The sequence below is a fragment of the Homo sapiens genome, chromosome 22, assembly GCF_000001405.40.
Source record: "Homo sapiens chromosome 22, GRCh38.p14 Primary Assembly".
Taxonomy (NCBI): domain Eukaryota; kingdom Metazoa; phylum Chordata; class Mammalia; order Primates; family Hominidae; genus Homo; species Homo sapiens.
In genome coordinates, this window is record NC_000022.11 from 32,938,105 (window position 1) to 32,961,503 (window position 23,399).

The 23,399-nt window shown below is 43.2% G+C and overlaps 1 protein-coding gene across 18 annotated transcripts in view, besides 1 other annotated feature; it reads right to left on the reverse strand.

Annotated features, from left to right (window-relative positions):
* Positions 1–23,399, reverse strand: part of SYN3 (synapsin III) — a 550,562-nt gene that overhangs the window by 430,285 nt on the left and 96,878 nt on the right. The window contains exon 1 of one of the 18 annotated variants that reach the window (XM_011530410.4): positions 19,886–20,735. The exons of the other annotated variants lie outside the window; for them this stretch is intronic. Coding sequence (XP_011528712.1) covers positions 19,886–19,900 — 15 coding nt within the window. The 5' untranslated portion in view covers positions 19,901–20,735. Of the gene's footprint in view, positions 1–19,885; positions 20,736–23,399 lie in introns of those variants that run through there. 18 annotated transcript variants of the gene reach the window in all.
* Positions 13,254–13,755: an enhancer, noted in NCBI's record as "H3K4me1 hESC enhancer chr22:33347343-33347844 (GRCh37/hg19 assembly coordinates)". NCBI's record gives its function as "activates a minimal SCP1, AML or CMV promoter by ChIP-STARR-seq in naive H9 embryonic stem cells {active_cell/tissue: H9 hESC(naive)}" and the evidence as "EXISTENCE:reporter gene assay evidence [ECO:0000049][PMID:30033119]".

The window sequence follows — 23,399 nt, forward strand, 5'->3', positions numbered from 1 at the left end:
TTCAAAGCAGCCAAAGGGGGGAAAATACATTTTATATAAAGAGAAACAAAGATAAGAATGATAAACAGCTTCTTGTGAGAAAATAGAAAACCAGAAGATAGTAGTAAATCTTCCTTAAAGAGCTAAAAGAAAAAGAAAACCAGGCTGGGCGCGGTGGCTCACGCCTGTAATCCCAGCACTTTGGGAGGCCGAGGCGGGTGGATCACAAGGTCAGGAGATCAAGACCATCCTGGCAAACACGGTGAAACCCTGTCTCTACTAAAAAATACAAAAAAATTAGCCAGGCGTGGTGGCGGGTGTCTGTAGTTCCAGCTACTCGGGAGGCTGAGACAGGAGAATCGCATGAACCCGGGAGGCAGAGCTTGCAGTGAGCAGCAATCGCGCCACTGCACTCCAGCCTGGGCAACAGAGTGAGACTCTGTCTCAGAAAAAAAAAAAAAAGAAAAAGAAAAAGGAAAAGAAAAAGAAAACCAACCAAAAAACAACTGTCGGTATGGAATATTATACCCAGTAAAATTATCTTTTAAAAGTGAAGGCATAGGCCAGGCACAGTGGCTCATGTTTGTAATCCCAGCACTTTGGGAGGCCAAGACGGGTGGATAACCTGAGGTCAGGAGTTCAAGACGAGCCTGGCCAACGTGGCAAAACCTCGTCTCTACTAAAAAGACAAAAAATCAACAAGGTGTGGTGGCACGCACCTGTAATCCCAGCCACTTGGGATGCTGAGGCACAAGAATCACTTGAACATGGGATGCGGAGGTTGCAATGAGCAGAGACTGCACCACTGCACTTCGGCCTGGACAGCAGGGCAAGGCTTTGTCTCAAAAAAAAAAAAAAAAAAGTGAAGGCACAATAAAGACTTTTCCAGACAAAGAAAAATTGAATTTATTATAAGTCCAAAATGTGTTAAAGGAAGCTCTTCAGACAGAAGGACAATGATACCAGATGGAAATTTGTACCAATACAAAATGAAGAGTTCTAGATATGGTAAATATGTGGATAAATACAAAACCCTTATTTTTCAGTTTAAAAATATCCTATAAAAGATTATTAACTGTTTAAAGCAAAACATTGCAGGCATCATGGGAGTTTATAACCTGTAGAAGTAAAATGAACAACAACAAGGACACAAAGAAAGGGAATGAGAAATGGAAATATACTGCTGAAAGGTTCTCACAGTATATGTGAAGTGGAATAACACTATTTGAAGGTAAATGATGATGAGGTAAGGATGTACATTTTAAACCATAGAACAGTGCCTTGAAAAGGAAATATAGATAAAATAAATAAAGTATACAAATTTTAAGTTTATAGCTTGATGAATTTTCATTTATTTATGCTGTGTAATCAATCCTCAGATCAAGATATAGATCATTTCTAGAACCCCTGAATCCTCCCTCATCCTCATTCCAGCTGATCTCACCCCCACACCATGATGCTACCATTTTAATGTCTTCTATCTCATAGATTAGTTTTACATGTTCGTGAACTTGCTATAAATGAAATCTCACAGTACATGCACTTTGGTATTTGCCTTCTTTCATATCTGTGATTCATCCATGCTGCTGTGGTTAGCAGCAGTCATTCTTTTTTAATTTCTGTGTAGTATTTCATTGTCTGAATATTCAATAATGTGTTTATCCATTCTGCTGATGGTAGACACTTTAACTATTTCTATTCATCAGCTACTAAGAAAAGAGCTGCTATGCACCTTCTTATACATCTCTTTTGGTGGACATATACATTCATTTTCCTGGGTTATATACCTAGAAGTGGAATTGCTGGGTCAGAGGATAGGCATACAGGATTTAGAAGATACAGATGGAGAATTTTCCTCAGTGGTTTTGCCAATTTACATACCGTTAGCAATATGAGAATTACAGTTGCTCTGTGTCTTTTTCAACACTTAGTATTGTCAAAGTTTTTAATTTTAGCCATTCTTCAGGTGGGTTGTGTAGTAATAGTACATTGTAGTTTTAGTTTACATTTCTCTGATGATTAATGATACTGACCACTTTTTCATGTGCTAATTAACAATTTAGGTAATTTCATTTGGTGAAGTGCCTGTTCAAGTTTTTTGTTCACATTTGTATTCTTGTTTGCATTTATCTTATTAATTTATAAAGGTATCTCAAAATATATTGTAGATATGAGTTCTTTGCTGGATATATTCATTTGGAAATTTCTTCTTCCATTCTGTGGCTTGTCTCTTAACTTTCTTAGTTTTTTAACGAAGAATATATTTATGCACACACATATGTATATATGAAGTACAATTTAGTATTTTTTTTACAGTTAGTGTATCTATTGTCTTTAGCTTAAAAAATGTTTGCCTATCCCAAGGTCATGTAGGCACTCTCAGTGTTTCCTGCTAGAAGCTTCTCTGTTGAGTATTTCACATTTACGTCTGTAATCCACCTAGAATTTTTAAATATATACTATGTGAGGTAGGACCGAAGGTTCAATTTTTTTCATATGGTTATTCATATACTTTGGTACCATTTATTGAAATGAGCACTCTTTCTCAATAGAATTGCATTGGTACCTTTGCCAACCACCAAGTCACTTCATAGGTGGCAGTCTATTTCTAAATTCTCTATTTTATTCTATTTATCAATTTGTCTATCCTGTTTCAAGTTGTCACAATTAATGTAGCTTTACAGTGAGTCATGACATCAGATAGTATAATATTCTAAGACAGAAGTGACCCAAACAAGCCCCAGTGATGACAGGAGCAAAGGCAAGATAGGATGACCATCCTCTGTCTCCTTAACCTACTGATCAGAAAAAAAGTTGTCTTATTTGCTCACTGCAAAATACACATGGACACTGGTCAATCATATGACCTCAAAGGCTCTGTCCTGAATAAACTGATTAGATGTTTCCCTAGCAATATGATTGACTAGACAGAATGTGTTCTACTATTCCTTGCTTTGCAACCAACCCACCATTGCAGCCAGACCTCTCAAAGACCTCCTCAACGAAACCCTCACTTATCTTAAAGGTTAAAAAAAAAGTTTTATTAATTAAAAACAAAAAAATCCACAATTCTTAACAGCTTGTTAGTATGGTCAGCTGGTTGAGAGGGTAATAAATGGAGGAGAAAGCACATCTATTCTTTTAGATCATCACCTATACTGAGGACCGGCACTTATGGCAACTCACTATTGACATGCTCACACACCTCTAAAGGTTTCTCTTTGCTTTATAACGAACTTTCACACTTCAGCATATTTCTAAACATTCTTTAACATTTTAACTTCTTTTCCACCTTGTTGAAAGCTTGAGCCCACTCTCTCATTTGTATTATTTTTTGCGCATTTGTTGCTAGCCAGTGCATTTTTAAAAATTTCTTTCCCGGGCCGGTTCCAAGATGGCTGAATAGGAACAGCTCCAGTCTACAGCTCCCAGCATGAACAACGCAGAAGATGGGTGATTTCTGCATTTCCAACTGAGGTACCAGGTTCATCTCACTGGGGTGTGTCGGACAGTGGGGGCAGGACAGTCGGTGCAGCCCACCGAGCGAGAGCCAAAGCAGGGCGAGGCATCGCCTCACCCGGGAAGCGCAAGGGGTAAGGGAATTCCCTTTCCTAGCCAAGGGAAGCCATGACAGACACCACCTGGAAAATTGGGTAACTCCCACCCTAATACTGTGCTTTTCCGAGGGTCTTAGCAAACAGTACACCAGGAGATTATATCCTGCGCCTGGCTCAGAGGATCCCACGCCCACGGAGCCTCGCTCATTGCCAGCTCGGCAGTCTGAGATCTAACTGCAAGGCAGCAGTGAGGCTGGGGGAGGGGCATCCGCCATTGCTAAGGCTTGAGTAGGTAAACAAAGCAGCCAGGAAGCTCAAACTGGGAAGCCCACCGCAGCTCAAGGAGGCCTGCCTACCTCTGTAGACTCCACCTCTGGGGGCAGGGCATAGCCGAACAAAAGGCAGCAGAAACCTCTGCAGTCTTAAATGTCCCTGTCTGACAGCTTTGAAGAGAGTAGTGGTTCTCCCAGCATGGAGTTTGAGATCTGAGAACAGACAGACTGCCTCCTCAAGTGGGTCCCTGACCCCCGAGTAGCCTAACTGGGAGGCACCCCCAAGTAGGGGCAGACTGACACCTCACACGGCCAGGTACCCCTCTGAGACAAAGCTTCCAGAGGAACAATCAGGCAGCAACCTTTGCTGTTCAGCAATATTCGCTGTTCTGCAGCCTCTGCTGCTGATACCCAGGCAAACAAGGTCTGGAGTGGACCTCCAGCAAACTCCAACAGACCTGCAGCTGAGGGTTCTGACTGTTAGAAGGAAAACTAACAAACAGAAAGGACATCCACAACACAACCCCATTTGTACGTCACCATCATCAAAGACCAAAGGTAGATAAAACCACAAAGATGGGGAAAAAACAGAGCAGAAAAGCTGAAAATTCTAGAAATCAGAGCGCCTCTTCTCCTCCAAAGGAACGCAGCTTCTCACCAGCAATGGAACAAAGCTGGATGGAGAATGACTTTGACGAGTTGAGTGAAGAAGGCTTCAGACGATCAAACTTCTCTGAGCTAAAGGAGGAAGTTCAAACCCATCGCAAAGAAGCTAAAACCTTGAAAAAAGATTAGACAAATGGCTAACTAGAATAACCAGTGTAGAGAAGTCCTTAAATGACCTGATGGAGCTGAAAACCATGGCACGAGAACTACGTGACGAATGCACTAGCTTCAGTAACCAATTTGATCAACTGGAAGAAAGGGTATCATTGATTAAAGATCAAATGAATGAAATGAAGTGAGAAGAGAAGTTTAGAGAAAAAAAGAGTAAAAAGAAACGAACAAAGCCTCCAAGAAATATGGGACTATGTGAAAAAACCAAATCTACGTCTGACTGGTGTACCTGAAAGTGACTGAGAGAATGGAACCAAGGTGGAAAACACTCTGCAGGATATTATCCAGGAGAACTTCCCAAACCTAGCAAGGCAGGCCAACATTCAAATTCAGGAAATACAGAGAACACCACAAAGATACTCCTCGAGAAGAGCAACTCCAAGACACATAATTGTCAGATTCACCAAAGTTGAAATGAAGGAAAAAATGTCAAGGGCAGCCAGAGAGAAAGGTCGGGTTACCCACAAAGGGAAGCCCATCAGACTAACAGTGGATCTCTTGGCAGAAACTCTACAAGCCAGAAGAGAGTGAGGGCCAATATTCAACATTCTTAAAGAAAAGAATTTTCAACCCAGATTTTCATATCCAGCCAAACTAAGCTTCATAAGTGAAGGAGAAATAAAATACTTTACAGACAAGCAAATGCTGAGAGATTTTGTCACCATCAGGCCTGCCCTACAAGAGCTCCTGAAGGAAGCACTAAACATGGAAAGGAACAACCGGTACATCTGGCATGAAAAAACATGCCAAAATGTAAAGACCATCGATGCTAGGAAGAAACTGGATCAACTAACGAGCAAAATAACCAGCTAACATCATAATGACAGGATCAAATTCACACATAACAATATTAACCTTAAATGTAAATGGACTAAATGCTCCAATTAAAAGACACAGACTGGCAAATTGGATAAAGAGTCAAGACCCATCAGTGTGCTGTATTCAGTAGACCCATCTCACGTGCAGAGACACACATAGACTCAAAATAAAGGGATGGAGGACGACCTACCAAGCAAATGGAAAACAAAAAAAGGCAGGGGTTGCAATCCTAGTCTCTGATAAAACAGACTTTAAACCGGCAAAGATCAAAAGAGACAAAGAAGACCATTACATAATGGTAAAGGGATCAATTCAACAAGAAGAGCTAACTATCCTAAATATATATGCGCCCAACACAGGAGCACCCAGATTCATACAGCAAGTCCTTAGAGACTTAACAAAGAGACTTAGACTCCCACACAATAATAATGGAAGACTTTAACACCCCACTGTCAACATCAGACAGATCAACGAGACAAAGTTAACAAGGATATCCAGGAATTGAACTCAGCTCTGCACCAAGTGGACGTAATAGACATCTACAGAACACTCCACCCCAAATCAACAGAATATACAGTCTTCTCAGCATCACATCACACTTATTCCAAAATTGACCACATAGTTGGAAGTAAAGCACTCCTCAGCAAATGTAAAAGAACAGAAATTATAACAAACTGTCTCTCAGACCACAGTGCAATCAAACTAGAACTCAGGATTAAGAAACTCACTCAAAACCGCTCAACTACATGGAAACTGAACAACCTGCTCCTGAATGACATGATCAAGTGGGCTTCATCCCTGGTTGCAAGGCTGGTTCAACATATGCAAATCAATAAACGTAATCCAGCATATAAACAGAACCAAAGACAAAAACCACATGATTATCTCAATAGATGCAGAAAAGGCCTTTGACAAAATTCAACAGCCCTTCATGCTAAAAACTCTCAATAAATTAGGTATTGATGGGATGTATCTCAAAATAATAAGAGCTATTTATGACAAACCCACAGCCAATATCATACTGAATGGACAAAAACTGGAAGCATTCCCCTTGAAAACTGGCATAAGCCAGGGATGCCCTCTCTCACCACTCCTATTCAACACAGTGTTGGAAGTTCTGGCCAGGGCAATCAGGCAGGAGAAAGAAATAAAGGGCATTCAATTAGGAAAAGAGGAAGTCAAATTGTCCCTGTTTGCAGATGACATGATTGTATATTTAGAAAACCCCATCGTCTCAGCCCAAAATCTCCTTAAGCTGATAAGCAATTCAGCAGTCTCAGGATACAAAATCAATATGCAAAAATCACAAGCATTCTTATACACCAATAACAGACAAACAGAGGGCCAAATCATGAGTAAACTCCCATTCACAATTGCTTCAAAGAGAATAAAATACCTAGGAATCCAACTTACAAGGGATGTGAAGGATCTCTTCAAGGAGAACTACAAACCACTGCTCAACGAAATAAAGGAGGACACAAACAAATGGAAGAACATTCCATGCTCATGGATAGGAAGAATCAATATTGTGAAAATGGCCATACTGCCCAAGGCAATTTATGGATTCAATGCCATCCCCATTAAGCTACCAATGACTTTCTTCACAGAACTGGAAATAACTACTTTAAAGTTCATATGGAACCAAAAAAGAGCCCACACTGCCAAGACAATCCTAAGCGAAAGAACAAAACTGGAGGCATCACGCTACCTGACTTTAAACTATACTACAAGGCTACAGTAACCAAAACAGCATGGTACTGGTACCAAAACAGAGATATAGACCAATGGAACAGAACAGAGCCCTCAGAAATAATACCACACATCTACAACCATCTGATCTTTGACAAACCTGACAAAAACAAGAAATGGGGAAAGGATTCCCTATTTAATAAATGGTGCTGGGAAAACTGGCTAGCCATATGTAGAAAGCTGAAACTGGATCCCTTCCTTACACCTCATACAAAAATTAATTCAAGATGGATTAAAGACTTAAATGTTAGACCTAAAACCATAAAAACCCTAGAAGAAAACCTAGGCAATACCATTCAGGACATAGGCATGGGCAAGGACTTCATGTCTAAAACACCAAAAGCAATGGCAACAAAAGCCAACATTGACAAATGGGATCTAATTAAACTAAAGAGCTTCTGCACAGCAAAAGAAACTACCACTAGAGTGAATAGGCAACCTACAGAATGGGAGAAAATTTTTGCAATCTACTTATCTGACAAAGGGCTAATATCCAGAATCTACAAAGTACTCAAACAAATTTACAAGAAAAAACCAAACAAGGCGATCAAAAAGTGGGCGAAGGATATGAACAAACACTTCTCAAAAGAAGACATTTATGCAGCCAACAGACACATGAAAAAATGCTCACCATCACTGGACGTCAGAGAAATGCAAATCAAAACCACAATGAGATACCATCTCATACCAGTTAGAATGGCGATCATTAAAAAGTCAGGAAACAACAGGTGCTGGAGAGGATGTGGAGAAATAGGAACACTTTTACATTGTTGGTGGGACTGTAAACTAGTTCAACCATTGTGGAAGACAGTGTGGCGATTCCTCAAGGATCTAGAATTAGAAATACCGTTTGACCCAGCCATCCCATTACTGGGTATATACCCAAAGGACTATAAATCATGCTGCTATAAAGACACATGCACACGTATGTTTATTGCGGCACTATTCACAATAGCAAAGACTTGGAACCAACCCAAATGTCCATCAATGATAGACTGGATTAAGAAAATGTGGCACATATACACCATGGAATACTATGCAGCCATAAAAAAGGATGAGTTCGTGTCCTTTGTAGGGACATCGATGAAGCTGGAAACCATCATTCTCAGCAAACTATCACAAGGACAGAAAACCAAACACCGCATGTTCTCACTCATAGGTGGGAATTGAACAATGAGAACACTTGGACACAGGAAGGGGAACATCACACATAGGGGCCTGTTGTGGGGCCGGGGGAGGGGGAGGGATAGCATTAAGAGATATACCTAATGTAAATGATGAATTAATGGGTGCAGCACACCAACATGGCACATGTATACATAGGTAACAAACCTGCACGTTTTGCACATGTACCCTAGAACTTAAAGTATAATAAAAAAAACTTTTTTCCCTTATTTTTAACAGAAAAAAAGACCCCATGCCATAATATATTGCTTTAGTAAATGAAGATGGCTGCATGTAATTCTGATTGTTTTAGGGGGGAAAATAGCCATGTTATACATTTGTAGGAGATTATGTCTAGACATCATTAAGGACAAATAGGTTTTAATTCTTTGGTCTCTAGATGAGGGCTATATATAGGCACAGACAGAGCTCTTGGTATTTTGCTACTCTTGCTAAACTAGCTGTGAGAGGTTTTCAACACTGATCTCAATGATAACTGAACGTACTGGACTATCTGAGCTTTTCTGTTTGTGTATAACTCTTTAAATATGTACTTGGAGGAACGAATAAATGGTGGAAAAGGGATTGGCCTTGAAGTCTGGAGATCAGAGATCTAAATCTTGAATTTGACACTGACCCAGTGTATGGCCTTAAGCAAACCCCTCACTTCCTCTCTGCTCTTAACTCTCTTCATCTTTCAATTAAAGAGCTATAATTAATTGAATCAATTATGTCCATGGTCTATTTAACTGTTATATGTTCATCTTTTTCTCAACCAATGTCCCCTAACTGTCATCAAAGAAATCATCTATTATCATGGCATACTTTATAAGAAAGAAATGCCAGCCAAGTAGGAATATTTTTTATAAGAAAGCTGTTCATTGTTTTATACCCAGCTCCTGGCACACAGTAGGTATTCAAAAATACTTATCACCAAAATTTTTTATATTTTACAGATGAATGGATACCCTCACACATTAAGCAACTTGCCTTCTGAAACTGCATTGCCAGGGCCTCCAGACTGTGACAAGGAGGATGTTTTCAGGCAGAGAGCAGGGGAAAGGCTCAACCTAAGTTTCCAGGAACAAAAGCACAGGTGAGAATAGGGCTATGGGGCCAATGGAATGGTGAGGTGTCGTTTGTAGCTGGGACATGGAGTATATGGAAGCACATAATAGAAGGCAAAGGTTGCTGGGAGACCAGTTCATGAAGATTTTGAGTGCCCTGTGAAGGAACGTGAATATCATTCTACAGCATATTAGTCTTCTATTGCTGCCATAAAAGTTATCACAAATTTAATGCCTTCAAACAACACAAACTTATTATCTCACTGCTATATAGGTCAGAAGTCCAGGTTAGCTTGGTTGGTTTCTCTGTTCTGTGTTGCACATGGCCCAAATCAAGGTGTTGGCCAGCTGGGCTCTTATTGCAAGGCTCTGGGAGGAAGCCACTTCCAGATTCCTCCAGGTTACTGGCAGAAGTCAGTTATCTGCAATTATAGAACTGAGGTCCTCGTTTCCTGGGAGAGACTCTCAGCTGCTTAGGGCTGTATGTTTTCCTTATGACGTTGTACTCCCATCTTCAAACTAGTAATGGCACACTGAGTACTTTTCACTTTTCAAATTTTTATTGACTTCTTGTCTGCCACATCTCCATCTCCAGTATGAGAAAGTTCTCTGCTTTTAAGGACTTGTGTGGTTTGATGGGGTCTAGTTGGATACTGTAGAATCCTCTCCTGTCTTAAGGTCCATAACTGTAATCACATCTGCTAAGTTCCTTTTGAATAACATTTTCATAGGTTCCAGGGACTAGGGCATAGACACTGTAGCGGGCTACTAGGAAACACTAAGGGTTGCAGAGGAGGGGAGTAACTCAATTCCTAACGACAAATATTTATGCAGCACATTCGAAGTTCCAGGCTCTGTTATAGGTGCTAGATATAATTGGAATCATCCATTAAGAAAATCTCTTTGGGCCAGGCGCGGTGGCTCATGCCTGTAATCACAGCACTTTGGGAGGCCGAGGCGGGCAGATCACAAGGTCAGGAGATCGAGACCATACTGGCTAACATGGTGAAACCTCGTCTCTACTAAAAATACAAAAAAATTAGCCGGGCGTGGTGGCGGGTGCCTGTAGTCTCAGCTACTCGGGAGGCTGAGGCAGGAGAATGGCGTGAACCTGCGAGGCGGAGCTTGCAGTGAGCCGAGATCGCGTCACTGCACTCCAGCCTGGGTGACAGAGTGAGACTCCGTCTCAATAAATAAATAAATAAATAAGTTCCTCGGTATGGTTTTGTGTTTTTTCTTCTTATTTCATGTTCGTTGAGCTTCTTGGGTTTAAAATTTCCATTAAGTTTGGAAACATTTTTTCATTAAATGTTTTTCATTAAATGTCTAAAAAAAAAAAAAAGAAAGAAAGAAAATCTCTCTGACATTCTCCTAGGTCAGAAGGAGATACAGGTTGAACATTCCTTATCTGAAATGCTTGGGACCAGAAGTGTTTTGCATTTTGGATTTGTTTTCAGATTTTGAAATATTTGCAGTATATATACTTACCAGTTGAGCATCTCTAATCCCAAAATCCAAAATCTGAAATGCTCCAGTGAGCATTTCCTTTGAGCATCATATCACTAAAAATTTTGGATTTTGGCCGGGCACAGCAGCTCACACTGATTTAATCCCAGTATCTTGGGAGGCCAAGGTGGGAGAATCACTTGAAGCCAGGAGTTTAAGACGAGCCTGTGTAACAAGGTAAGACCCTTATATCTTTTTAAAAAATTAGCCAGGCATGGTGGTGTGCACCTGTAGACCCAGTTACCAGCGGGGGGCGGGGGTGCTCAGGCAGGAGGATGCTTGAGCTTTGAGTTCAAGGCTGCAGTGAGCTATAACTGCACCACTGCACTCCGGCCTGGGAGACAGAGCGAGACTCTATGTCAAAAAAAAAAAAAGTTTTGGGTTTTGGAGTATTCTGGATTTTGGATTTTCGGACTTGGGATGCTTAACCTGTAAGCACCTGTTTGTAATTAAACTCGTGTCCAGTTTCAGGAACACGCCCACACACCCACACACACGCATGCATGCGTGCACGCACACAGGAATAGAGATGGAATGCATTCAATTTCCTGTAGGGTCTTTGGCTGCATTTTCACCGGCACTGGCACCTGACAAGAAGGTAATGCCAAGCAGATAATATTACTGAAAGCACGGGGTATTCATGTCTAGTTACTAATAATTGCATTTGCGATGATAATCATGTTGATGACAGAATGGAAAATGGTGATTGTAATCATCATCATAATACTAAGCTGAAGCATGTTATTAGGCCAACAGGTCAATAGGAAAGAAGCAGAAATCGAGACATGGACGTGGATGACTGACTGGAATGTACACAAGAAACCAAGAATGTGTGGGAATGTGAAGGTAGCAGCTGTCAGCTTTGACCTTGAAGCCTGACTGAGGGAGGATTGTGACACAACGAGATGTTGTCCAGAGTTCCTGAGAAAGGCAAGATGCTGGCAGATAGATTTGTCTGGAATCCCAGGGTGACTGATAAGATACTGGGAATTCCTGTCAGTTGGTGAAGAAGTATCTGGTCCAGACTGTACCCTTAAACCCAACCCTTAGGCGTGTTCCCCTGCCCATGGCCTTGGGCACTTGCATATTTTGCAGGAGAAACAGAGAGAGAAAAAGAGACAGAGAGGAGACAGAGACACACAGGTACTAAGTTCACAGGAAAAAGTCAGCACTCTCAGCACCTCTCCTAATGCTAGAACAACTTCAGACCCCGTGGTCTGTTCCATAAGGTTTTTCTTACTGCATCTCATAAAGAGAAGCAGTTAGTCTACTGGTCAGGAATCACAATGCCACATTTGCTAGTGGGCAGGGTCATGGCCGGGGGTGATTCTGGCCTCCACATTCTGCCTCTCTGTAGCTACGTGTCTGTTGATCTGGGTGGTCATTGTGTTAACTTCCTCTTTCCTGCTTTTTAAGTCCTGAAAGATACTATCTTTAAGCATTCATCTTTCTCTCTGCAACTCTGACTTCCAATCTATGAGTTGGCAGCCATAAACTCTAATTCCCGGGAGCTTCTTCTGATTCCCAGGAGGCCCGGATGTCCTGCTATTTTTTCATAGTTGTCATTGTGAGGCCTTGTGACTTTTGAGTAAGAACAGCCACATATCTAGTTAGTAACATCCGCAGATGAGGTTTGGCTTCAAGGGAGGGTAAGAGGTTGCACTGCTTAGTTCTAAAGCCTAAACTGAGGGATTCAGCCCAGATTTAGCAGAGGAACTAAGGGTAGCGAACCTGGGGCAGCTAACGCTGGACTGTAATTTCAGTGGTGATTTGCCGTTCCTCCTTTGGTTGTCAGCCATCTTAGGAACCTATAATGAGGGGTGTAGCAGGGGTGGTGCTGGTGATTGTCAAGGAAGGATTAGGGCATTCCTGAGCCCTCTTGCAAATTATCATCAAAATTCTACCCTAATTCCTAGCAGACTGATATGTTTACTCTTGGGAATGAAACTGTATCATTAAATTCCTTTAAAAAACATCAGCAGTCTGCATGTATTATGATCTTCCTCACTTCCTAAATTCTTTCATAGCCAAAGACACTCATTCAAAAAGGATAAACAATAGCAGTGATAATAAAAAGGAAACACAAACCCTACATGACTTACAAGGTCTCACATGATTTACTCTGATGCCTCCCCCCATCCCCCTAGTTCCGACTTGCTCAGCCATTGCCACACTGTCAAACACACCAAGCAAGCTCCAGCCTCCTGTCCCCACCACCAAAGGGCTTCCCTGAGCCAGCAGCATGGCTGCCTTCCTCAGGCCATTCAGAGTCCCTCTCAGTGGCGCCCCCAGCTGCATCCTCCCTGCAAAGCACCCTGCTGGGTTCCACAGCCAATTTCCTTGCTTATTCTTCCCTAAAGCACTCATCCCTACGTGACATAAAGATTTACGTCCATCTCAATTAACTATTCAATGGTCTACCTCTCTCACTCAAGTAGAAGCTCTGCAGGGCAGAGATTTTATCTGCTTTGTTCACCACTCTATCTCAGCTCCTAAAACAGTGCCTGTGCTCCGTCAATATCACTCAATGAACCAATGCCCATTTTGCAGATGTCAAAGATAAGACTTAAGGAAGCACAGAGACTGTTCCCCAAGTTCCACCCTGGAAATTATGTCAGCTGGGACCCATACCCAGGCCAACATGCTTCACAAGTGTGATTTTCTGGTGGGCAGGAGGTGACATCAAGTGCATGCCAGTTATTTGAGGTGACTCCCGTTGGAGTGTGCAGAGTTGGGCCAGCTCGGACTCAGTTTGTGGCCTACAGTCGCCCTTGTCTTTCACCTTCCCGGTCTTGTGCACACCAGTTTGCAGCATCTGTCAGCGAAGCCCATGGGCCCCCTCCCCTCCTCCATTCGGCCTCTTCTGACTGCTCCACCGATGGCAGACACTTGGCAGGTGGCCTGAGGCCTGCAGTCAGCAAGAACTGCTTCCTGTCCACTTCCCGGCACAGGCTGTATTTTTAGCTTGCTGGTCCTGGGGGGGATCAGTGACTTCCTTGGCTGGCATCTCAGGGCTGAGCTCTTTCCCACCAGTTCAGACTCACCTTGCAGACGAAAAAGGCTTTGAGAGTCTGCCCACTCACCTAGCAGCCCATTCCAGATGAGGAAATCTTGCTCAGTAGAAGCACTCGGCATCTCAGTGAAGGCCTGGCCCACCAGAAAAATCATAGCATGCCTGTGTGTGTGTGAATATTGAATGAGTGTGTGTGTGCGCACACGCATGTGAATAATGTGTGTGTGGGGGGGTGTGTGTGTGTGTGGACAGGCAGGGTGGGGAGGGATAAACACATTAAAAATGTCCAAATAAATACAAAAACACAGAAAAAAAATAAAATAATAAAAACCTACATTCCTAAATGTTCATGTATTAGAATATTCAAAATTAGGATGGGTTTGCCACATTGTATTTGAAAAATCAGACTGGTCTCAGTGGCTCACACGTGTAACTTCAGCACTTTGGGAGGCTGAGGCAGGAGGATTGCTTGAGCCCAGGAGTTCGAGACCAGCCTGGGAAAACATAGTGAGACCCTGTCTCTACAAAAAATTTAAAAATCAGCCAGGTGTGGTGGTGCATGCCTATCGTCCTAGTTACTTAGGACTCGAAGCGGAAGGCTCACTCGAGCCCACGAGTTCAAGGCTGCAGTGAGCTATGATTGCACCATCGCCCTGCAGCCCAAGGAACAGAGCAAAACCCTATCTCAAATAAATAAATAAATAAATAGAATTTAAAAATAAAAAGCAGTGTTTTGCAGTTTACAAAATGTTTGATGTAACATAATGTTTTCTGGAATCAGAACAAACGAGTTTGAATCTGATCTCCACCCCTGCCTTGCTGTACAACTTTGGGCAAGTTAGCCTTCTTATGCCTTAGTCTCTCATCTGTAAAAAGAGGCTATGGTGCCTTCATAGGGCAGTTGTGAGCATTAAATGAATTAATCCACTTGAAAGCTCTTAGCAAGGTGCTTAGGCAAAAATAAATGTGTAATGAATGTTAGCTATCAAGGTTATACTAATTAATTTGATTATCACAACAACATTGATAGAAGCATGGGTATTAGCCTCCTCATAGTTGATAAGAAAACTGGAGAGCAGAGAGTGTTCAAATGACTTGGCTAAGATCACAAAGCTATTGCACCAGAGAGCAAGGACTTGAACTCAGGTCAGTCTGATTCTGTTTGCATCCATTTATTCATTTATTCATTTAGGACATTCTTATTGAGCAGCTGCTCTGCCAGGGCTAGGGGCTGGTGACACAGCAGTGAAAGTAACAGAAAAAATTCCCTGTCCTCACCTTATATTCTAGTGCAGACCATTAATAATAAATATAAATAATACATTGGGAGAGGAAAGAGAAACACTGGCAAGAAGACAGAGTGCCAGAAGTTGAGTTTTGTGTTAAATAAAGGGGTCAGGAGAAGAATAAATTTGATCAGTGATATGAGCAAAGTGAGGTAGCAAAACCTATTAATAAGGGGCGGGGGAGGGGGCTTTCCAGGCAGAGAGACCAGCAGGTGCAAAGACCCTGAGGCTGGAGTATATATACAGAATTCAAGGAACAGCAAGAAAATTGGCGTGCCTGGAACAGGGCTAGTAAGGTGGTCAGGAAAGAAGATGAGATCAGAGAGGGGATGACGGACCAGGTCACAGCAAGGGTTTAGGATTTTATTCTGCATGAGATGGGAAGATGTTGGCATCTTTACTATCCTTATCACCAACATCATCATCTCCACTATTGTCAAGGAAGATAATGGTGGAGATGATTCTCCTCCTCATCCCCCTCCTCCTTCTTCATCAACATCATCACACTTGGCAATATAAGATGTTAGGGAGTCAAGTTTGAGAAAAATCATCAGTTAGATGTATTGTTCTGATTTTTAAGGAATTTCTTAATGGCAAAGTTTTGTTCCCAAAAGCCTAGATGTACATTTGCTAGGATCGAGGTGGGGTTCTGGTGACTGGAGGCCAGAGGACCAGGCATGCCCTAATTCTGTCCTGATAGTCGCCCCTTCCTGCTCAGGGTTCCTGAGAGAGTTGTACCCACACCCAACAAAACAAAACAAAACAAAACAAAACAAAACAAAACAAAACAAAACAAAAACCGCACCTGAGAATCAAAGTAAAACATCCATTGCCCTTTGCCCTATGCCAGGGGAGACTTCAAGGTTGGGGAGAGCCTTTAATAATGTCCCTAGGACAGGAAGGAGGTTCATCGAAGGGGAGAAAAAGGGGCCTTTAAGGGGAACAGGATGGTGAGACCACCACAGCTTCATCTCTCCCCACCTCCAGAGCTTTTAGAAGGTCGACAGACCTAGAAACAAATTTTGCTAACTGCAATGAATTTTTGCTACCTGCAGTGGATAGGGCAAATGTTCAGAGATTTTAAGACCACAGCTTAGATACAAAGAAAAGAACAGTGGTTAATGTTTCCTTGACATTTACGTCCCATTGCTATGAGCTGGGCTCCACATGCTTAGACACCATTCTGCCAAATGCTCTGCAAAGTGTGTGAAAAAGTGTCCTCGCAGCCCTCTGGCTCTCCTGATGGATGGGTTCTGGGTGCATTAAGATCAAGATGTGGAAGCACAGTCCATTGTTGGGGGCTAACACTCAGTAGTACCACAGATGAACCAGAAACTGCAAGAGGAAAGCAGTCCTGGGAAGAGAGGCTGTTTGGGGTAAGAAGATGCTGCTGGAGCTGGGCACTGTGGATTCTAATTCTGCAGACCATAGTGAGGGGACATATTGAAGGAGCTGAAGCGGGGCTGGTACAGTTATATTTCTGTAAATGTTTTTTTTTTTTTCCAAATGGAAAACTCAAAGTTATAATGTGATGAGAGGAACATCTTGTTCATCAAAGCTCTAAGAAATTCAAATGCTTTTTCCTTTTCTTTTTTTTTTTTCTTTTCATTTTAAAGGTCCAAAATCTTTCTCAGGATTGTAGGAAGGAAAAAAGGCACTCAGACTTCCTTTTCTATTCTCATTGCTACCCATAGTGCAGACCTCGCCTTCTTGTTCTAGAACTACTGTCTCCCTGTATCTCATTTACCCTCCATATGATCCAGTCTGCACATCCAGGGAACAGCCCTGCACCCCCAGGTGAGGACCTACTACTTCCTACTACTGGGACCTCCAAGAATACGGCCACCTTTGAACCCCAAATGCATAGACCCTGCTGTTCCTATCACAGCTCCAGCTAAGCACCAGACACTTTGAAAGGCCAGCGGGTTCAGCACTCAGGATGCTAAATGCTGCAAAGAAAAATGAGGCAGATAAAGTGATGGAGAAGTGTGCATGGAAGTGCCATTTCAGATAGGGGGTGGGGGGCAAGCATTTCTGAGGAGGTGACATTTGGGCAAAGCACCTGAATACAGTGAGGGCATGAGCCATGCGGACACCTGGGGGATGAGGGGCCCAGGCAAAGGCCTTGATGCACTTGCTTGATATTTTAAAGATTTTTATGTTTTTCATTGTGGTAAATTATATACAACATAAAATTTATCATTTTAATCCTTTTTTAAGTGTACATTTTAGTGGCATTAAGTACATTCATGGTGTTGTGCAACCACCACCGCTAACCATCTCCAGAACTTTTTCATTACCACTTGTGATGGTTAATACTGAGTGTCAACTTGATGGGATTGAAGAATGCAAATTATTGATCCTGGGTGTGTCTGTGAGGGTGTTTCCAAAGGAGATTAACATTTGAGTCACTGGGCTGGGGAAGGCAGACTCACCCTTAATCTGGGTGGGCACCATCTAATCAGCTGCCAGTGAATATAAAGCAGGCAGAAGAACATGAAAAGGCTAGACTGGCCTAGCCTCTCAGCCTACATCTTTTTCTCCATGGTGGATGCTTCCTGCCCTCTAACATTGGACTCCGAGTTCTTCAGCTTTGGGACTCAGACTGGCTTACTTGCTCTTCAGATTGCAGATGGCCTATTGTGTGAACTTGTGATTGTGTGAGTTAATACTACTTAATAAATTCACATATATATATATATATATATAAAATCTCCTATTAGTTCTGTCCCTGTAGAGAACCCTAATACCGCCCCCCCCAAAAAATGTTATACAGAACCTGTCCCCCTCCCAGCCCCTACTAACTTTTTTTTTTTTTTTGAGACAGAGTCTTGTTCTGTCGCCCAGGCCAGAATGCAGAGGCACGATCTTGGCTCACTGCAACCTCCACCTCCTGGGTTCAAGTGATTCTCCTGCCTCAGCCTCCCAAGTAGCTAGGATTACAGGTGCCCACCACCACGCCCAGCTAATTTTTGTATTTTTAGTAGAGACAGTGTTTCACCATGTTGGTCAGGCTGGTCTCAAACTCTGACCTCAAATAATCCACCTGCCTCAGCCTCCCAAAGTGCTGGGATTACAGGTGTGAGCCACCTTACCCGGCCACCCCTACTAATTTCTATCCTACTGTGTCTCAATAGATTTGACTACTCTAGGTACTTCAGATTACTGGAATCATATAACATTTGTCCTTTTGTGTCTGACTTCTATCACGTAATATCATGTTTTCAAGGCTCATCTATATTGTAGCATATGCCAGAATTCCTTTTTTGAGGCTGAATAATATTCTATTGTTTGGACATAGCACATTTTGTTCACCCATTCATCTGCTGATGGACATCTGGGTTGTTTCCACCTTTTGGCTATTGCGAACCATGCTGCTGTGAACATGGGTGTACAAATATCTGTTCAAGTCCCTGCTTTCAATTCTTCTGGGTAAATTCCCAGAAGTAGAATTGCTGGATTGTACAGTAATTCTACATTTAATTTTTGAAGGAACTGCCATACTGTTCTCCACAGTGGCTGCCTCATTCTACATTCCCACATCAGTGCACAAAGGTTCCAATCTCTCCACCTTCTCACCAACACTTGTTATTTTCTGTTGTTTGATTTTAAGGAAGAGCAAGACAGCCCGTGTGGATGGATCAGAGTAAGCCAGGAAAATAGGGTCAGGAACAAGGTCAGGGCAGGCTAATCAGGAAGGGCCCTTAGGTATTGGGAAGGACTTTGGCTATGGCTTGGAGTGAGACTGGCACCTCTGGAGAGATGGTTTTCTACCCACAGAGGGGCATAATCTGATTTACAATAAGGAAGTTAAGCCCAGTGCTTTTAACTCCAGAAGCACGAGGGCTCCAAGATTAGCACAATCCTCTTTTCTCCCAAGCTGCCCAAGGGTTAAGTAAACGCAAACATGGGTAAATGCAGTGAAAGGAGATATTTCCTTCCCCTGGCTGACACACCTGATGCAGGAAGCAGACTCGTGCTCTCTGGGAATGAGAGGCCTGGCCGGACTTGTGCTTCCACAAGAAAATGAACATCGCCGGGATGCAGGATGGCTTAGCACTTCTCCTGTGAGTTTCTGAAAGCTACCGAACAGCCTAAGGCCCCATCTGTTTTCAATCTTGTTAAAAGGGCCTCATGTGCTGGCGCCTATTTAAAATAATGCACACATGGAGTTTTTAAAATGAAGAAGAAAAAAGCCCCGCGCTCTCCCCACCGGCACAGCTTATGTGTTTATTTTGGAGCAAGCTTTGGAGCAAGACACAGCTAATTTCTCTTCCCGAGGTTGATTTGCAAATCCCCATAGGCTTTTGCTCCAAGCATTTAAGGCAGCTTGGTATGAACTGGTCACCCTTTCAAAAGTCTGCTGTGAAATATCTCCAAGTTAAGCCTAGGCTCAGGAAAGGAGGGAGCCCAAGGGCCACTTTGCTCCTTGCAAATAGGTTGTTTCCCTGATCCCTTTTCCCTCAATAGAGACTCATGTTTCTAAAGGCTGAATTCCTCTTCTCAGATGCTCATTTTCTTCCACAGGGGCTACCGTGGTTCCACCCCAGCATGACTCAGATAGAGCTTCGCGCTAACCCAAACCTAATCTCCAAAACGGGGACTGCAAGGGACAGTGTCAGGGAAAAGAACCCACCTGTGGCAAATGCATTCCGCATCAAGAAGCAAAGGCAATGAGGTCTGTCTGTCCATATTCTGAGGAGCACAGAGGCCCTCTGCACTTCTGAGACAACAACATGCTCAACTCACAATGACATTCACATGTCCAGTGTCCACAAATAGCTGTAATGGATCATTTCCAACCCTGTAGGCTCAGAGAAAACATCCCGTAAACGTAGCATCACTTCCACAACCACATCAACAGCAGCTCCACACATCTCAGGGACTTCATAAACGACTCCCCCTAGACCCAGAGCAAGGGAAGTGCAAACAGGATACAAGCAAAACAGGATAAGTGTGTCCGGAATGGCCTCCCAGTGATTGCTCACGTCGCTTTCTGCATCTTCACACTTGAGTGGTAGCAATACCCAAGGGTGGTGATGACAATAATTATCCCAGCCAGTACATTAGTAGGAGAAGTAGTAGTTGGAGTCTTTGGAGAGGTAGAAACAAAAATGGTGATACTAGTAGTAATAGCACTAGATGTGGTAGCTGTATGAATACTATCCATAGTTCCAGTGACAATATAATAATTATTACATACTATATTTGTATTAGATTTAAAATCTATCATAGTTTTGTTTTTTGTTTTTGTTTTAGCACTTACTATGTGCCAGGCACTAGTCTAAGGGCTTTGCATGTAGTAATGAATCCTGACAGTAACCTGGTGAGACAGGCCTTATTATCCCCACTTTAGAAAGGGGCACCGAGGCATGATGAGATTAGTATGTTTTATGAGATCACATAGCAGGGAGGTGACAGACCAAGTATGCAAACACGAGTCTGAATCCAAGGTCCCTGCTTTTGACTGTTTCACTAGGCTCCTTCCAACATGCGGCAAAGTCCGAGACAATGGGAGCAGCAGGACGATAGAACCCCAGTGAGGGAATTACTTCTCGGAGGGGCACAGTGGCTCACCCCTATAATCCCAGCACTTTGAGAGGCTGAGGCGGGTGGATGACTTGAGGTCAAGAGTTCAAGACCAGCCTGGCCAACATGGTGAAACCCCATCTCTACTAAAAATACAAAAAATAGTAGGGTGTTGATATGGGTTGGCTGTGTTCCCACCCAAATCTCATCTAGAATTGTACTCCCACAAGTCCCAGTGGGAGATAATTGAATCATGGGGTTAGTTCCCCCATACTATTCTCATGGTAGTTGATAAGTTTCACGAGATCTGATTGTTTTATCAGGGGTTTCCGCTTTTGCATCTTCTGCATTCTGTCTTTGCTTGCTGTCATCCATGTGAGATGGGACTTGCTCCTCCTTGCCTTCCATCATGATTGTGAGGCTTCCCCAGCTACATGGAACTGTAAGTCCAATTAAACTTCTTTGTTCTGTAAATTGCCCAGTCTCGGGTATGTCTTTATCAGCAGTGTGAAAACGGACTAATACAGGTGTGGTGGTGCACGCCTGTAATCTCAGCTACTTGGGAGGCTGAGGCAGGAGAATCACTTGAACCCAGGAGGCAGAGGTTGCAGTGAGCCAAGATTGCGCCACTGTACTCCAGCCTGGGTGACAGAGTGAGACACTGTCTCAGAAAAAAAAAAGAATTACTTTTCAAGAGGCAGCCTAAGGAGAGGCCTCAGACACTTTTTTTTTTTCTCCTTGAGACTCGGTTGCTCAGGCTGGAGTGCAATGATGCGATCACGGCTCACTGCTGCCTCGACCTACTGCGCTCAAGCAATCCTCCCACCTCAGCCTCCCCAGCAGCTGGGACTACAGGCGTGTGCCACAATGCCTGGCTAATTTTTAAAATTTTTTTGTAAAGATCTCACTATGTTGTTGCCCAAGCTGGTCTCAGACTCCTGGGCTCAAGTGATCCTTTTGCCTTGGCCTTCCAAAGTGCTGGGATTACAGGCGTGAGCCACCATGCCCAACTTCAGATACTTTTTTTTGAGGCTCAAAGGGTTCAGGACCTTCCAGCTACGCATCAAACAGAGCAGTAATTTTAATTTTTTAATCTGCTTAAATATTGGGTTTTACATAAAATTTAATTGGAAACAAAACTGTTCTATTTTGAAAAACCGTTAGAAAGCAACAGTGTGCTGAGGCTTTGGAGTTAGACAGGTATCATAACTATGTCTTTCATTGTCTGTATTCTGATGCTTTGACCCCTGGGCCTTGCTGGCCCTGGAGGGAATGCCCTTCCTAGGTTAGCCAAGACTTGGAGATACCAAAGAGCTTGCCTGGAGCACGCCCTCTGAATGCAAACCAACCAACGCAGGCTCAACCTCCTCTATATATGGGGCTGTCACACTGCAGGGCACTGCCCATCTGCCCTGATCACCCCAGGGATAGGCACCAGGCAACTAGGGACAGCCCCTACTCTCCAAGGCCGGTTGAAATAATTCAAACTCACCAATCCTAAACCTGTTTCCCCTGCCTTGCTCACTCCTCCCCACAAATTCACAATAAAAGCTCTCGCCCACATCTCCCTATCATTCCCTCTGTCTACGAACAATCATGGTGCTCCCCTGTGCCCCCCGCCTGCATGTGGCATGGGGTGCTGTGCCTCCTCCTTCTAGGGGACTGTGAGTGTAAGAGCTCCTTCCTTCTTGACAGTCATGCATGTGACTGCGCGTCTTGCATGCTCAACTAAAACAAATCCTGGTTATGTTTAAGACAACAGGCTCTGACCAGCTTCCCCCATGCCCCTCAGGACTTTCGACAGGTGTCAGGCCTCTGCTGGGTTGCCGGGTACAAAGCCTGGGACACACTGACCAGTGTGGATCATGTCACAAACAGTGCTGAGCGTGGGGTCAGACGGACCTGGGTTTCAATTGCATTTCTAGAACTTCCTAGCTCTGGGATCTTGGGGAAATCACAGGCCCTTTTGCCTCAGTGGCTCTACCTGTAAAAATAGGGCATAAGGTCCTGACCCTGTCCCTATCCTGAGGCTGCTAACAGGAACTGCAGGAGAGAGTGAAGGTGAAGTTTCTCCAGAGTGAAGCCCACACCACCATAAACTGTCTTTAGGGTACCCAAGGGGCTCCTTGCACAAAGGTGTGTTTTTGAGTTGTTCGGTCTAGAAGGGGGTTTCTCAACCTTGGCGCTATTGACATTTTGAGCTATGTAACTCTTTGTTGCGGAAGACTGTTTTGTGTATTGTAGGAGGTTTAGCAACATACCTGGCCTCTGCCCACAGGTGTCAGGAGATCTCCCCTGTTGTGACAACCAAAAATGTCTCCAGGCATTGCCAAATGTCTCCTGTTGGGGGGATTGGGGCAAAAATCACCCCTGGTTGTTAGCTACTAATACAGAAGAGGAGACAGGTTAGGCTAAGCGTATCTTCCTCTTTCTAGCATCTCTCTCTCTCTCTCTCTCTCTTTCTCTCTACTCTTCCAAGGATGCCCAACAGTTCACAGAGTACCCAGGTACCTCTGTGGTAAAGTAGGGCTCTAAGGAGCATGGTTGGAAAATACTTGTTTCAGTAGACACTCTAGGCTAGAAAAAGTAGAGTTGTGTTGTCAGTGGGTTTTGGTTTCACC